A 16,662-nucleotide genomic window follows, 5' to 3' on the forward strand; every position below is an offset into this window, starting at 1 on the left:
AGTGCATAGGTATATACAAATACCACATAGAAGGAAATAGAGCATCTGCAGATTTTGGTGTGTGCTAAAGTTCTGGAAAAAATCCCCTGTGAATACCCAGAAATGACTATCTTTGAAATCTGAAGTAGAAGCTCCAAGGCGTCACACATCAGAATTCCAAAAATTGGGGCTCCCAGTCCCTAGAGAGTTGCCCTCATCTTTGTGATCTTGCATGGTTTCCAGCTACATCAGCATTCCAGCCTTATGGAAAAGGACGAGGGGAAGGAGAGGCTTTACTCCTTCTATTGATCCTGTGAGCAAGGAATTGCTTACATCACTTTGTGATTCTTCCACTTAACAGCACCTGGTCATACAATGTCATCCAGCATCAAGGAAAACTGGGATGTGGGTCTTTGTGCTGCTTTTATACTCTCAGAATTGTTATGTGACCGAAGAGGAAAATGAATATTGGGGCAATCTAGCAGTCTCTTCAGCCCTGATTGTCTCTGACTCTGTGCTCACATCAAGATTTTTCAGGAACTCCTCAGAAATAATGAATGATGGGGCAGAGAACAGAACTGGAGCCTCATGCAGGGTTCCAGGGACCAGGGGCTGGTATTAGACTTGCTCTTCGTGTTGTGAACTCAGGAAAACCCTTTAATTCTCTATGCCTTGGCTTCATCTTATGTTATATGAGGATAATACCATAGATGGTCTTTAAGGAACACAGGCTAAATGTTGGTGATACTACAGGGAAAATGACAGGTATGACTTAGTCCTTATGGAGCTTTGGTTTTCATGAGGAAGACAAACATATCATACCATAAATATAGATAGAGAAACTCTTTAGTGCCCTGAGTGTGGATAACAGAGGCTCTCCTTTTCCTCCCATTTCCTTTCTGGGCCAATCAGGGCTGTGGCACCTTGCCCCTCTAAGAGAGCTCATGATGGATGCATTCACTCCTGATGCTTCTCTGTACTCCCAGCAAAGGGTGCATCTTCTGTCCACCAGGAGGCCTCCTGCCCCTGTGCATCCTCAGGATTCCAGAGCAAATGTGACCTCTGATAGGCAAAAAGGAACTCCTGAATTTATTCCTAAATGGCATTCACTCACCTCTATTTTGTTCCCTCTTTGATTTGCCTCTCCTTCTCTATGTGGAGTTTGCTTAGGTCAGTTTTTTTTTCAATCCACAATTTTGGCTGCCAACTTGGATTTAACTTGAGAATCACTCCTCTGCTTTACTCCCTGTAACATATATAATCGACACAGGGTGGTGCTGGGTATAAAGGGCTGCTCCAAGACTGGATTGTGAGTCAGACCTGCCGGACTCAAATTCATACTATGTAATACATAACCCCTGGGACAAATAATTCCCTTTCGTTGTGCTCCAATTGCATTATCTGCCATATGGGAATAATACCAATTCTTACCTCCTAGGCTCTTCGGGTGATTAAAAGAGACAATACCTTACAAACTCTCAATCAGCTGCTGTTATTCTCCCAGATTAGACCTAATCCTCATTCTCCAGTTGAAATCTGCATGAATCTCTCTCTTTACACTCCAAGCCCTACACATCGCCTATTTCCCCTCATGGACGCCTCTCATACAAATGTTTGCATCAACAAAGAAATGCTACCAAAGATCTCCTGAAAGAGAGAACCAAAAAGTTTACATTGTGTATACCCAGCAGAACACTTAGTAGTCCCCCATAGATATTTCCACACTTCAATTACCTCCGTCAGTTACACTCAGACCTCATCTTCACTTACTCTTTCCTCTGTTCTATTGCTGAGTAATTCAGCTCAGACCCACACCCTACCCAAACACTGTGTACAAAAATGCTTCTAGGTGTTCAGCAAAGCCACACTGAGTCTTCATTTCAAAGGCACATCAGTGGTCAATTTCAAGTTTTGGGCACACATCAAGAATTCTTCTCAACACAGATACAGCTTTCCACAAATAGAATTCTGATGAATTAAATTTTCTTCATCCAGTTATACGTGTGTGTTCTAATACCTTACATTGTGCTTTCATCTTTATTTTCCATTTCATCCAAATCTACCAGTACCATTAGTCTCATGCATGCATTCATTCATTGAATGAATGTATATGAAAAGCACAGTGTGCTGCTCATGGAAATAGGCACTGGGAGTATAAAATGTAAAATGTAGTCCTGTCTGCAATGACTGACACACTGAGTTATTTCTCACCCACCAGGCCCAGCCATTTTCACACTTATCCTAGCAAAGGTCACATTTTCCTCTAGTTCATAATGCATGGTCTTCCTTCCTGTCCATGGATGACCAGTCCTAGTCACGAGTGTGTCACAACCACCTCTTTGTGTATCTGAATTCCTCCACCTGAAAGAAAATTTCAGACCCAGGATAGATTAATCATCGGGTCCAAAGCCCTGGCCGGATGAGTGGGGGTGTTTTGATCCTAATGTTATTCCCATGTCAGCACAGAACTTGTGTGGCAGTAGAGAGATGTCAGGCTTCAGAGTCAACAAGAACTGGATTTCAAACTGGATTTGAGGACCCCCACCTTTGGTAAGTGACTTATTATCTGCGAGCCTCTGTTTCTCTCTTCTTTAAATGAGGACAGTAAATCCCATACGGCAGGGTGGTGGGGAGAATCAGAGATGATACAGCTGGTGATCACATCTGGTTTGTGTTCCCAGGGGCACCAGACTAGGGTTTCTGAGCATGGATCCAACCGTCCCAGTCTTCGGTACAAAACTGACACCAATCAACGGACGTGAGGAGACTCCTTGCTACAATCAGACCCTGAGCTTCACGGTGCTGACGTGCATCATTTCCCTTGTCGGACTGACAGGAAACGCGGTTGTGCTCTGGCTCCTGGGCTACCGCATGCGCAGGAACGCTGTCTCCATCTACATCCTCAACCTGGCCGCAGCAGACTTCCTCTTCCTCAGCTTCCAGATTATACGTTTGCCATTACGCCTCATCAATATCAGCCATCTCATCCGCAAAATCCTCGTTTCTGTGATGACCTTTCCCTACTTTACAGGCCTGAGTATGCTGAGCGCCATCAGCACCGAGCGCTGCCTGTCTGTTCTGTGGCCCATCTGGTACCGCTGCCGCCGCCCCACACACCTGTCAGCGGTCGTGTGTGTCCTGCTCTGGGGCCTGTCCCTGCTGTTTAGTATGCTGGAGTGGAGGTTCTGTGACTTCCTGTTTAGTGGTGCTGATTCTAGTTGGTGTGAAACGTCAGATTTCATCCCAGTCGCGTGGCTGATTTTTTTATGTGTGGTTCTCTGTGTTTCCAGCCTGGTCCTGCTGGTCAGGATCCTCTGTGGATCCCGGAAGATGCCGCTGACCAGGCTGTACGTGACCATCCTGCTCACAGTGCTGGTCTTCCTCCTCTGCGGCCTGCCCTTCGGCATTCTGGGGGCCCTAATTTACAGGATGCACCTGAATTTGGAAGTCTTATATTGTCATGTTTATCTGGTTTGCATGTCCCTGTCCTCTCTAAACAGTAGTGCCAACCCCATCATTTACTTCTTCGTGGGCTCCTTTAGGCAGCGTCAAAATAGGCAGAACCTGAAGCTGGTTCTCCAGAGGGCTCTGCAGGACAAGCCTGAGGTGGATAAAGGTGAAGGGCAGCTTCCTGAGGAAAGCCTGGAGCTGTCGGGAAGCAGATTGGGGCCATGAGGGAGAGCCTCTGCCCTGTCAGTCAGACGGGACTTTGAGAGCAACACTGTCCTGCCACCCTTGACAATTACATGCGTTTTTCTTAGCGTTTCGCCTCAGAAATGTCTCAGTGGTAACTCAAGGTCTTCAAATAAATGTTTATCTAACCTGACAGTTGCAGTTTTCACCCATGGAAAGCATTAGTCTGACAGTACAATGTTTGGATTCTCCTTGATATTACCAATACATTTTCCCTGTTATCTTGCACTGAATCTTTCCTACTGAACACTTTTTCTGCACTTTTCATTGTAATAAAAGGAGTTCCTGTCCACAACCCTAAAACTCTTCTTTATACTTGTTTCCTACCTGATAGTATCAAAAAGGAAGATTCCTTATTAATCTGTCAGACTATGTTCCCCTGAAAATCATGTTCCCTTCTATGACTGGAGGCATTACTGCAGTTGGAAGCTCAATTCTTAATAAGTGAGTTCTGCTACCTCTAAATTCCATTGAATTCTCAGATATAAAGCAAAATAATGTCCTTAGAGAGAGATTCTCCCTTCATAAAAACAGTCTTAGAAATTGGTTTTATGAATAGCCCTCTCCTGTCATTTGTCCACACATGGTCACACGTTGGCTTTGGTTTCTAGTAAAGACAATCGTGGCCCCTTCCCCTTGAGAACTGGTAAGTGCTTATTTAGCTCTTCCTGGACTAACGGACCAGTGAGGAGCCTATAAATACACCCCACCAGTTCCATTTTGGCCATTGGAAATTAAAATTGGTTTCAAACTGGAAATTATCTTGAAAACCATTTATTATTCATTTACAGAGTCTTTAAGTTGTAGGAGAATTCTTCATACTTTCAGGTTTTGTACAAATTGTTCTGGCTGTAACTTTCAGTTAATTTTATGGCTGTTAACATAAGAAGCAAAACTGAAAACATCTGACTTTTCCATGCTAATGTCAATTATAGTATCCGGATAATAACTTACAGTTGGTACAAAATTCTGATACATGCTGTGACTTAGATGAACACGGAAACATTGTGCTAAGGAAAATATGCCAGATACCAAAGAACAATATTGTATGGTCAAATTCTACGAGGTATCCAAACTAGGAAATTCGTGAACACAGAAAATAAATTAGAAGGATCCTGGTGCTGGATGATGGAGAGAATGTGTAGCCATTATTTAATGAGCACAGACTTTCTGTGTGGAATAATGCAAAGTTCTTAAAAGGGACAGTGGTAACGGTTACGACTTATTGTGAATGCACTTAATGACATTGAATTGTACAAATAAAATGGTGAAAGTTGTAAAATGTATGTTATGTGCATTTTACCACAATTAAAAACATTTAATTATAAAAACAGGATCAGTACAAAATTCAGGACTATTCTCCACCAGTGGTTATCCCTTCAACAGATAGCTCAAGCAGACAGAAGAGACCACCAAGAGAAGATGTGACATCACAGCAGGGTCTGTGCTGATCATAGACAGTGAGGCTGCCCCTCAGATTAACCCTCACTGAGGGGAGCTGACACATGCATTTTGAGTATACAGGAGACAGTACAAAGTAGCTATGAAAGCAATAAAGAGGTCTATAACAATAAACAGGTGTATAGTTTTCAATTTGTCCAACCAAATTTATTCGTGGCTCGTATCACATTGTTCACAATGTTGAACTCAGGTCCCCTGAGTGCAGATCCATTGCTCTTCCAGGCTCAGCACTCGCTGATGCTGAATCCTATCTGTCCACCCTCGATTTCCAAATGCCATAGTAGGACATAGCTGTAGGTAAGGGTTTCCTACAGGTTGGAGGAAGCAGGAAGGCAGTGTTTGCAGCCAATGCTCCACAAAAGGAGCTTTGATGTGATGTCTTTAGTTCAGACTGAGGGTTATTGAGAGAGCCCATTCTGGGAGTCTGTGATATCAATTGAACAGTTCTGGTCAAAGATGTTGTTTATCATGAGGAATTCTGTAGAGAATTTTCACCTGGCAATTGAATCAAATAATGTTGGTTCTCACCTGGGACACTGCTTATTTTGACGTTAGTGACTCTTTTTTTCTGACAGAAGAAAATTTCAATTTTATGAAAGCTTAGATTCTGTCCCTGAAGCCCATTCTGAACTCACTTGGCCTCAGACATTGCTCCACTACAGCAGTTATAACAGTGTATTTCAATTGTTTGTCCTCACATCTTTCTCTTCAACTGCACTCTGAGGTCTTTAAGAGCAGAGAACATGTCTTGGAATTTCTAGTGCAACAGACTAGGTGTGGAATTTAGGAGAGTATCAGTAACTATTTTTCTCAAGCAGCTTCCACCTGAAAATCACAGGTTTGTCCAGCATCTTGAAAAGGCTGGCTCAGTCACCAGATCTCACTGGAACTCCTACAGGCATCTCCCACTCAACAGAGTGTCCTCTGCAGTTGGTTTTTCTGAGAAGAACTGTTGCCCTTCATTGCAGGTCTGCTCACTGCCTCTGGGAAGAAGAATGGAGGAGATGTGGGAGTCTGCTCGTGAGCTGCTTTCTTTCCCAGGCCAATGATATCATTTCCTCTCGGTTCTATGTCGAGGAAGAGCATGCAAGACATCCAGGAGTGTTCTCCAGAAAGTGAGAAATGATATAAAAGTCTCTAATGGCACTTTTTGGGAGCTGCCATTCATGACTATTTTGTAGGCATGAATTCAACAAACATTCGAACCTAATTCATCAAGCACTGTGCTAATTCTACATAAAAGCAAACACCTTTCAAATAAGTCTCTCACTAATACATTCCATCTCTATAACCAATCCTTTCCACTTCATGAAGAAAATAAATTGATTGATGCTGAGCAAATGCTGAGCCTTTGTGGCCATTCACTGATGCTCTAGTATACCTGGGCTCAAGGGCACTGAGTCATCAGCCTCACAAGAATCAATTGGATCTGTTTCCTGTCCTGCTTCTGCCAATTAGGCTTGTCAATATAATTACCTAATTTATCAAAATACACCACAAATCAATGAAATACGAGTATGAAAGAAGAATTGTGGTTTCCATACAAACTAATGTGAATGCTTAAAGGGACAATACATGTAGGTTCCAAAATTGTTGTTAGTTTAATAGGTGTGAGCCTGCCAACTCTATCAGATTAAACAAAAATGAACAATATTGAACAATATCCTCAGAGAGAATGCTATGTATCTGATGCTAAGATCTACACTTAAACTAATCCACACTGCAAATCATAGACAATGATTGATAGATATGCTTTCAGCAAGATAGAGTAGAATTCTATTTGCTGAACCCTACACAAAGGAGTGTTCTGTAGTCTAGTTCTATTATAGTGAATGAATTCTAGGTAAAAATGAAATATTCATGTTACAAACATATCCTTTTTTATGAATACTGATTAACAGACATTTTCAGTTAACCTATCCACTTGCATTCCTGAATATATCATTAAGTGGGCTTTTCATAACAGTATCTCTCACTTATTCTACTGTTTATTGTATAAATACATACTGAGCATCTTCTATTCTCTAACTTGCATGCCAGACACTTAGGAGTCAAAGTAAACACACCTACATTCACAGAGCTCACAGCCTGTGAAGGAAGGACACTAGTGCAGGAAAGACTGCCTCCCAATGTGACGTATACTATCCAAGAGTTGTACTTGTGGCTCAAGGGTGCTCAGAGGAGAGGGTATCTAAAAATTCCAAGTTATCTTGCTGCCATCCTGAAGAGGAATGCCACCCCCAAGCACTCAGCTGAAGCAGGACAATAGGATTTTAATAAATTAGAGAATGTTCACCAGGTGGCTGCTCATGCAGGACAATCTCAGCAACGGTTTTATAATTGATGACATCAAAAGATTAATAGGCTGAATCTTACAACAGCCCTCAGTCAATAGTCCAACATCACACCAATGCACAATTCCTGAAAAGATTGTTAAGAGACCCTGCAGGTGCTTAGGTCACAGGCATTGCAGAACTATCTACCACAATTACCCTGTGTTCCAGCAGTACAAGCCCTTGCCTCCAGGCAAAACCAAATCAGCATCTAGAAATCCCAGGATAGGTAGGGAAGCAGAACGTGCAAGTGCTAGATGCGAAGAACACCTGACCTATTTCAGGGATTTGGGATTCTCAAGCTGACTGCATGGCCAACGTGGGTCACATGCTCATTCCAGGCAATCCAAACAGATAGTGAGGTTACGGGATTGTCCCAGTCTGAAACTGTGCCACTTGTGCATTTGTGCTCAGGTATCTCTTTTCAGAATATGTATGTAAAGTGGGACTTTACCATAACCATGGACTGAAGATAACTACTGTTGTGATCCTGGCAGCGTGAGAAATTCACGTATCTACAGAGTGACTATAATCACAGTAAGCATATGTTCTTCTCACCTATGTGGCAGTGACCTAGAATCTGAAGAGACTGCTGTGATGCTTGTTCTGTATGACTGTGTGGTATCAGTTGGGCACCATTATCGTCAATGTACCAATACTGACTATAGATATAGATGGCATTTGTTTCCTGTTATCTAACAACAACAGTAGAGTATAGAAGAAGAAATCTCAATGCTCATGCCCATCATATTGGTCCAATTGTTTCGAAACTTTGCAGGATGCAAACACAAGGAAGGAGAGCAGAGACAGAGCAGATCTCATTCCTGAGTGTGTATGTAGAAGTGAGTGGATCATGGAAGGCTTCGTGTAATAGGTAGAATTTTAACTGATGACTACAATTTACCCAGCATTATTATTATAATAATACCATCCTTAAATTCTGCCAATCACCTCAATTTTTGTATTGGGGAAGCAGAGATAAATAGGATCTGGACAGATGGAAATGAGAGAAGAGATAATTTACAGTGGCACTGTTAATAAAAGCATAGAGTTTTTTAGGGAATGGTGAATAATTCATTGATGAGTTTTATTCCTTGTGTCACCCCATGTATTTGGTCATGGTGGCAAGATCCCTGTTAAATAGAAGGAAAGATATGGTATTTTTCAGACAAACAAATACTGAGAGAATTTGCCACTACCAAGACAGCACTACAAGAACTGCTAAAAGGAGCTCTAAATCAGGAAATAAAACATCAAAATACAACCTCCTTAAAGCCTAAATCTTACAGGGCCTATAAAACAATAACACAATGAAAAAAAAATGTATTAACACAACAACTAGCATGATGAATAGAATAGTATCACACATCTCAATACTAATGTTGAATGTAAATGGCCTAAATGTTCCACATAAAGGATACAGAATGTCAGAATGGATAAGAATTCAGCAAACAAGTATCTGCTGTCTTCGAGAGATTCACCTAACACATAAGGACTCACATAAACTTAAGGTAAAGGGTTGGTAAAAGATATACCATGCAAATATATACCAAAAGTGAACAGGAGTAACTATTCTTATATCAGACAAAAGAAAGTACTTTAAAGCAACAACAATTAAAAAAAACAAAGGGAGACATTATATAATGATAAAAGGATGAGTCCAACAGGAAAATATCATAATCCTATCATAATCCTATATATATATATATATCTAACACTGTCACTCCTAAATTTATAAAACAAGTACTAATAGACCTAAGAAATGAGATAGATGGCAACACAATAATAATAGTAGACTTCAATACCCCACTGACAGCACTGGACAAGTCATCAAGACAGAAAGTCAACAAAGAAACAATGCACTTAAACTATACCCTACAACAAAAGGACTTAACAGATATTTATAGAACATTCCATCCAACAACCACAGAATATACATTCTATTCAACAGCACGTGGAACTTTCTCCAAGATAGACCATATTATAGGCCATGAAACAAGTCTCAACAAATTTAAGAAAATTGAAATTATATCAAGTATCCTTTCAGAACACAGTGAAATAAAATTGGAAATCAACTCCAAAAGGAATCCTCAAAACGATGAAAATATATGGAAATTAAATAGTCTACTCCTGAATGATATTTTGGTCAACAACGAAATCAAGAAGGAAATTTAAAAATTCTTTGAACTGAGTGATAATAGTGACATAACCTATCAAAACCTCTGGGATAAAGCAAAGTGGTGCTAAGAGGAAAGTTCACAGCATTAAATGCCTACATCAAAAAGTCTGAAAGAGCACAAATAGACAACCTAAGGTCACACCTCAAGGAACTAGAGAAACAAGAATAAACCAAAGCCAAACCATGCAGAAGAAAAAAAAAAAAGAAACATTACAGCAGAACTAAATGAAATTGAAACAAACACCAACAACAACAACAAAAAAAAAAAAACAAAGATAAATGTAACAAAAACCTGGTTCTTTGAAAACATAAACAAAATTGGTAGACCATTAGTGAGATTAACCAAGAAAAGAAGAGAGAAGATCCAAATAAGCTCAATTAGAAATGAAACAAGAGATATTACAACCAATACCACAGAAATTCAAAAGATCATTCAAGACTACTATGAACACCTTTACACACACAAATTAGAAAACCTAGAGGAGATGGACAAATTCCTGGAGATTAAAATAGGAAGAAATAGAAACTCTGAACAGACTAGTAACAGGCAGCAAGATTGAAATGGTGATTTGAAAATTGCCAACAAAAAAAGTCTAGGACCAAACAGATTTACAGCTGAATTCTATCAGACATTCAAAGAAGAATTGGTGCCAATCCTATTGACACTATTCCAAAAGATAGAGAAAGAGGGAATCCTCCCTAAATCATTCTATGAAGCCAGTATCACCCAAATACCAAAACCAGGAAAGAACATAGCAAAAAAAAAAAACTACAGACCAATATTCTTGGTGAATACAGATGCAGAAATCCTCAACAAAATACTAGCTAACCAAATCCAACAGCATATTGAAAAGATAATTCAGCATGATCAAATGGGTTTCATACCAGGGATACAGGGATAGGTTAACATACACAGGTAAATAAATGTGATAAAACATATAAAAAGAATTAAAAACAAAAATCATATGATCATCTCAATAGACACAGAAAAGCATTTGACAAAATCTAGCATCTCTTTATGATAAAAAGCCTCAGCAAACTCGGCATAGAAGGGACATACCTTAACGTAATAAAAACTATCTATGACAAACCACACAGCCAACATTATACTCAATGGGGAAAAGTTGAAAGCATTCCACCTGAGAACTGAAACAAGATAAGGATGCCCATTTACACCACTTCTATTCAACATAGTACTGGAAGTCCTAGCAAGAGCAATTAGACAAGAGAAAGAAATAAAAGGCATTCAAATCAGTAAAGAGGAAGACAAACTGCCGTCGTTCACCAATGATATGATTGTATACCTAGAAAACCCTGAAGACTCAACCAAAAAGCTTCTAGATCTGATAAATGAATTCAGTAAAGTTTCAGGATACAAAGTCAATGAACACAAATCAGTAGCACTGCTATACACCAAAAGTGACCAAGCTGAGAATCAAATCAAGAACCCAACCCCTTTTACAATAGCTGCAAAAAAATAAATAAATAAATAAAATACTTAGGAACATATCTAACCAAGGATGTGAAAAACCTCTATAAAGAGAACTACAAAACACTGCTGAAAGAAATTTTAGATGACACAAACAAATGGAAACACATCCCATGATCATGGATGGGTAGAATCAATATTGTGAAAATGACCACACTTCCAAGAGCAATCTACAAATTCAATGTAATTCCCATCAAGATACCATCATCATTCTTCACAGAACTGGAAAAAACAATCCTAAAATTCATATGGAACCAAAAAAGAACCTGTATAACCAAAGCAAGACTAAGCAAAAAGAACAAATCTGGAGGCATCACATTACCCAACTTCAAACTATGAGGCTATAGTCACCAAAACCCATGGTACTGGTATAAAGATAGGCGTATAGACCAATGGAACAGAACAGAGAACCCAGAAATAAACCCAAATACTTACAGCCAACTGATCTTCAACAAAGCAAACAAAAACATAAAGAGGGGAAAGGACATACTTTTCAACAAATGATGCTGGGATAATTAGCAAACCATATGTAGAAGAATGAAACTGGATCCTCATCTCTCACCTCATACAAAAATCAACTCAAGATGGATCAAAGACTTAAATCTAAGACCTGAAACCATAAAAATTCTAGAAGATAACATCGGAGAAACCCTTCTAGACATTGGCTTAGGCAAAGACTTCATGACCAAGAACCCAAAAGTAAATGTAAAAAAAAAACAAAGATAAATCAATGGGACTTAATTAAACTAAAAAGTTCTGCACAGCAAAATAATAATAATAATAATAATCACCAGAGTAAACAGACAACTCATGGAATGGAAGAAAATCTTCACAAACTGTGCATCCGACAAAGGACTAATATCCAGAATCTACAAGGAAATCTAACAAATCATCAAGAATAAAACAAATTATCCGTTTGAAAAGTGGGCTGAGGACATGAATAGACAATTCTTAAAAGAAGATATACCAATGGCCAATAAACATATGAAAAAATGCTCAACATCACTAATTATCAGGGAAATGCAGATCAGAACCACAAAACAATACCACCTTACTCCTGCAAGAATGGCCATAATTAAAAAATCAAAAAATAATAGATGTTGGCATGGATGTGGTGAAAAGGGAACACTTTTACACTGCTGGTGGGGATGTAAACTAGTAAAACCACTATGGAAAACAGTGTGGAGATTCCTTAAAGAACTAAAAGTAGATCTGCCTTTTGTTCCAGCAATTCCACTACTGGATATCTACCCAGAGGAAAGGAAATCATTTATGAAAAAGACACTCACACATGCATGTTTATAGCAGCACAATTTGCAATTGTAAAAATATAGAACCAGCCCAAATGCCCATGAATTAATAGGTGGATAAAGAAAATGTCATATATATATGCATATGTATATATATATGCATATGCATATGCATATACACACACACACACACACACACACACACACACACACCATGGATTACTACTCAGCCATAAAAAGGAACAAAATAATGGCATTCACAGCAATCTGGATGGAGTTGGAGACCATTACTCTAAGTGAAGTAACTCAGGAATGGAAAACCAAACATTGGATGTTCTTACTTGTAAGTAGGAGCTAAGCTATCAGGACACAAGGGCATAAGAATGATACAATGGACTTTGGGGACTGGAGGAAAAAGAGTGGGAGGTAGGTGAGGGATAAAAGACTACACACTGGGTACAGTATACACTGTTCTGGTGATGGGTACATCAAAATCTCAGAAATCACCACTAAACTACTTATCCATGTAACCAAACACCACCTGTTCTCCAAAAACTTATCGAAGTAAAAAAATAAAATGTATAATCTCAGCTATTTTCAAATGTGTACTACATTATTATTTACTATATTTACCACACTATGTAATATATCTCAAAGAAAAAAATTATTCCTCCTATTTAATTAAGGTTTTATACTCTTTGACCGTCAATCATTTCTCCATGGGTGTTGAAATTTGTCAAATCCTTTTTCTCTGTTTATTGAGATATTCACATAATTTTTCTCCTTTAATCTGTTAATGTGGCAAATTTCACTGATTGATTTACAAATGTTAAACAAACATTGCACTACTGAGATAAACCCCACTAGCCATTCTGTATTATCCTTTTGATATATTTCAGGATTCTACCTGCTACTACTGTGTTAAGAATTTTTGCATCTATATTCATAAAGAATTTTGGTCTGTAGTTTCCTTATTGGTAATATCTTTTCCAGATTTCACTATTAAAGATATACATGGTCTCATAAAATAAGTTGGAGAATATTCTTTCCTTCTGAAATTTATGATAAAATATTTGTATAAATTTGATATGATTTTTCCCTTTAAATATCAACAGAATTTATCCAAGCCTTCTGGATCTAAATTTTTGCATGTGCATGTGTGGAAAGTTTTAATTAAAAATGTAGTATCTTGGCCAGGTGCAGTGGCTCATGCCTGTAATCCCAGAACTTTGGGAGGCCAAGGCGGGCGGATCACCTGAGGTCAGGAGTTCAAGACCAGCCTGGCCAACATGATGAAACCCCATCTCCACTAAAAATACAAAAATTAGCCAGGTTTGGTGGTGTGCGCCTGTAATCCCAGCTACTCAGGAGGCTGAGGCAAGAGAATCATTTGAACCCGGGAGGCAGAGGTTGCAGCACTCCAGCCTGGGTGACAGAGTGAGACTTCATTAAAAAAAACAACAACTATATATATATATATCTTTCACAGACATACAGCTATTCACATTTTCTATTGCTTCTCATGTCAGTTTTGGTGAGTTATGTCTTTCAAGAAAAGTGTCCCTTTCATCTAAGCTTTGAATTTATTGACATAAGTTTGTTCGTGATAGTTCTCTATTATCCTTTTAATGTCTTTAGAGACTATAGCAATATTCCCACTCTCATTCTTGATAATGATGTTATTTTCTCTTTGTTTATTGTTCAGTATTGCTAAAAATTTATGAATATCATTAATCTTTTCATGGTACTATCACAGCTTTGATTTTATCTCTATTGCTTGTTTTCTGTTTCACTGATTTCTGCTCTTTATTGTTTCTTTTTATTTTGGTCTTAATTTGTTCATGTTTTTTATACTTCTGAAGCTTGAAGGTTAGATCTTGATTTTTTTAATTATTAAGTGTTTGATAGAATTCACCAGTGTGGCCATGTGTGCCTGGAGCTTTCTTTGTAGAAGAGTTTTTAATTATAAATTCAATTTCCTTAGTAGATACAGGATTATTTGCAATTACTGTATCTTCTTGATCAATTTTGGGAAGGTGCGTTTTTAAAAGAGTACTTCTATTTCTTCTAAATTGTCAAATTTTGACAAAAAATCATTCAAAGGAGCTTTTTATTTCTGTATTTTTAATACTGGTAGTACGTACCATGATAGTCTCTCTTTGATTCCCAGTGTGAGTTTTGTGTTTTCTCTATTTATATTTTTCTTCATTGGTATTGCTAGGAATTTATCAATTTTATTATCTTTTCAAAAATATAAATTTCATCATTATTGTTATTTTTCTATTGTACCTTTGCTTTTTTTTTTTTTTTGAGACGGAGTCTCGCTCTATCGCCCAGGCTGGAGTGCAGTGGCGTGATCTCAGCTCACTGCAAGCTCTGCCTCCCGGGTTCATGCCATTCTCCTGCCTCAGCCTCCCGAGTAGTTAGGACTACTGGTGCCTGCCACTATGCCCGGCTAATTTTTCTTTTTTTTTTTTTTTTTGGATTTTTAGTAGAGACGGGGTTTCACCATGTTAGCCAGGATGGTCTCGATCTCCTGACCTCGTGATCCTCCCGTCTTGGCCTCCCAAAGTGCTGGGATTACAGGCGTGAGCCACCGCACCTGGCCCCTTTGCTTTTTACTTTTTTTTCCAATCTTTATTATTTCCTTCCTTTTACAGTAGTTCCATCTTATCTTTAAGGGATAAATTCCAAGACCCCCACTGGTTGTATGAAAAGTGTTTCAATTGACAGCAACCAAAACACATTTCTGTTCACCTCTTCAACACAAAAATTTAATGCTTTTTCTATCTTAATTAAGTAATCGTCATGTAATGTGGCCATAGCTTTTGCAGTTTGAGGTGCAACAGCAAAACCAGCATGATTTTTTTTTGCCTCCTTTATGATGTAACTAGTTTTTACTGTAGACCTTAGCAGCCTCCACATTCTATTTTTTTTCTTCCTTATTAAGTTGTAAACTTTCACCTTTACTTAGAGGGAGCACTCTATCACTTCTCTTTGGCGTATCTGAATTGCCAGCATCCCTATTTCTAATGCTTTGGAGCCATTAATAAGTAAAATAAAGTTTACTTGAACACAAGCACTGTGATACCACAACAACTGATCTAGCAACTGAGAGGGCTACAAATGGATGGATAGGGTACACAGCATGGATATGCTAGGCAAAGGGGTGAATCACATCCCAGGAAGGACAGAGCAGGACCACAAGAGATTTCATCACACTATTCAAAGTGGTACATAATTTTAAACATATGAATTATTTATTTCTGGAATTACTGAATGGAGAAAATCTGCTTACCTTTTAAAAACAAACAACTCTTTATTTCATTGATTTTTTCTTTTGTTTTTCTAGTCTTCTTTTCACTTATTTCTGCTCTGATCTTTATTATTTCCTTCCTTCTACTAATTTTGCAAAGTATACATTTGATAAAGGATTAGCATCCAAAATATTTAAGAGACTCCAACAACTCAATAGCAATAAAACAAATGAACCAGTGAAAAAGTGGGCAAAAGAACTGAATAGATATCTCTGAAAAGAAGACTCAAAAATGACCAATAGATACAAGAAAAAATGTGCAATGTAACTAATCATCAGGGAAATGCAAATCAAAACCACAATGAGATATCATTTCTCCAGTTAGAATGGCTACTATCAAAAATACAAAAGATGACAAGTATTGTAGAGGATGTGGAGAAAAGAGAACCCTCATACACTGTTGGTGGGAATGTATTTTAGTACAGCCATTAGGGAAAGCAGTATGGAAGTTCCTCAAAATATTAAAAATAGAACTACCATATATTCAGAAATCCTGCTCCTGGGTTGATATCCAAGGGAAATGAAATCAGTATATTGAAAAGATATCTGCATCCCCATGTTTCTTGCAGCACTATTTACAATGGCCAAGATATGGAATTAACCTAAGTGCCCATCAACAGATAAACTGATGAAGAAAATGTGGTACATATTCACAATGGAATACTATTTAGCCTTAAAAAAGAATGAAATTCTATCATTTCTAGTGACTTGGGTAAGCCAGAGGACATTCTGTTAAGTGAAATATGCAAGGCACAGGAAGAAAAATAGTGCATGATCTCACTCATATGTAGAATCTAAACGAGGTGATCTCACAGAAATTGAGAGTAAAATGGTGGTTGCCATAGGCTGGGTAGGTTAGGTGAAAGGGGAGATGAGTAGACGCTGGTCAAAGGATATGTAATTACATTTAGATGGGAGGAACATCCTGGGTTGATATCCAAGGGAAATGAAATCAGTATATT

At 38.4% G+C, this 16,662-nt stretch overlaps 1 protein-coding gene across 1 annotated transcript; it reads left to right on the forward strand.

Annotated features, from left to right (window-relative positions):
• Window positions 1-2,265: 2,265 nt before the first annotated feature.
• Window positions 2,266-3,709, forward strand: MRGPRX4 (MAS related GPR family member X4). Its single transcript, NM_054032.3, has one exon. It carries the CDS (start codon window positions 2,686-2,688, stop codon window positions 3,652-3,654), a length of 969 nt encoding a protein of 322 aa, NP_473373.2. The 5' UTR covers window positions 2,266-2,685; the 3' UTR covers window positions 3,655-3,709.
• Window positions 3,710-16,662: the final 12,953 nt, after the last annotated feature.

This window comes from Homo sapiens, chromosome 11, assembly GCF_000001405.40.
Source record: "Homo sapiens chromosome 11, GRCh38.p14 Primary Assembly".
Taxonomy (NCBI): Eukaryota; Metazoa; Chordata; class Mammalia; order Primates; family Hominidae; genus Homo; species Homo sapiens.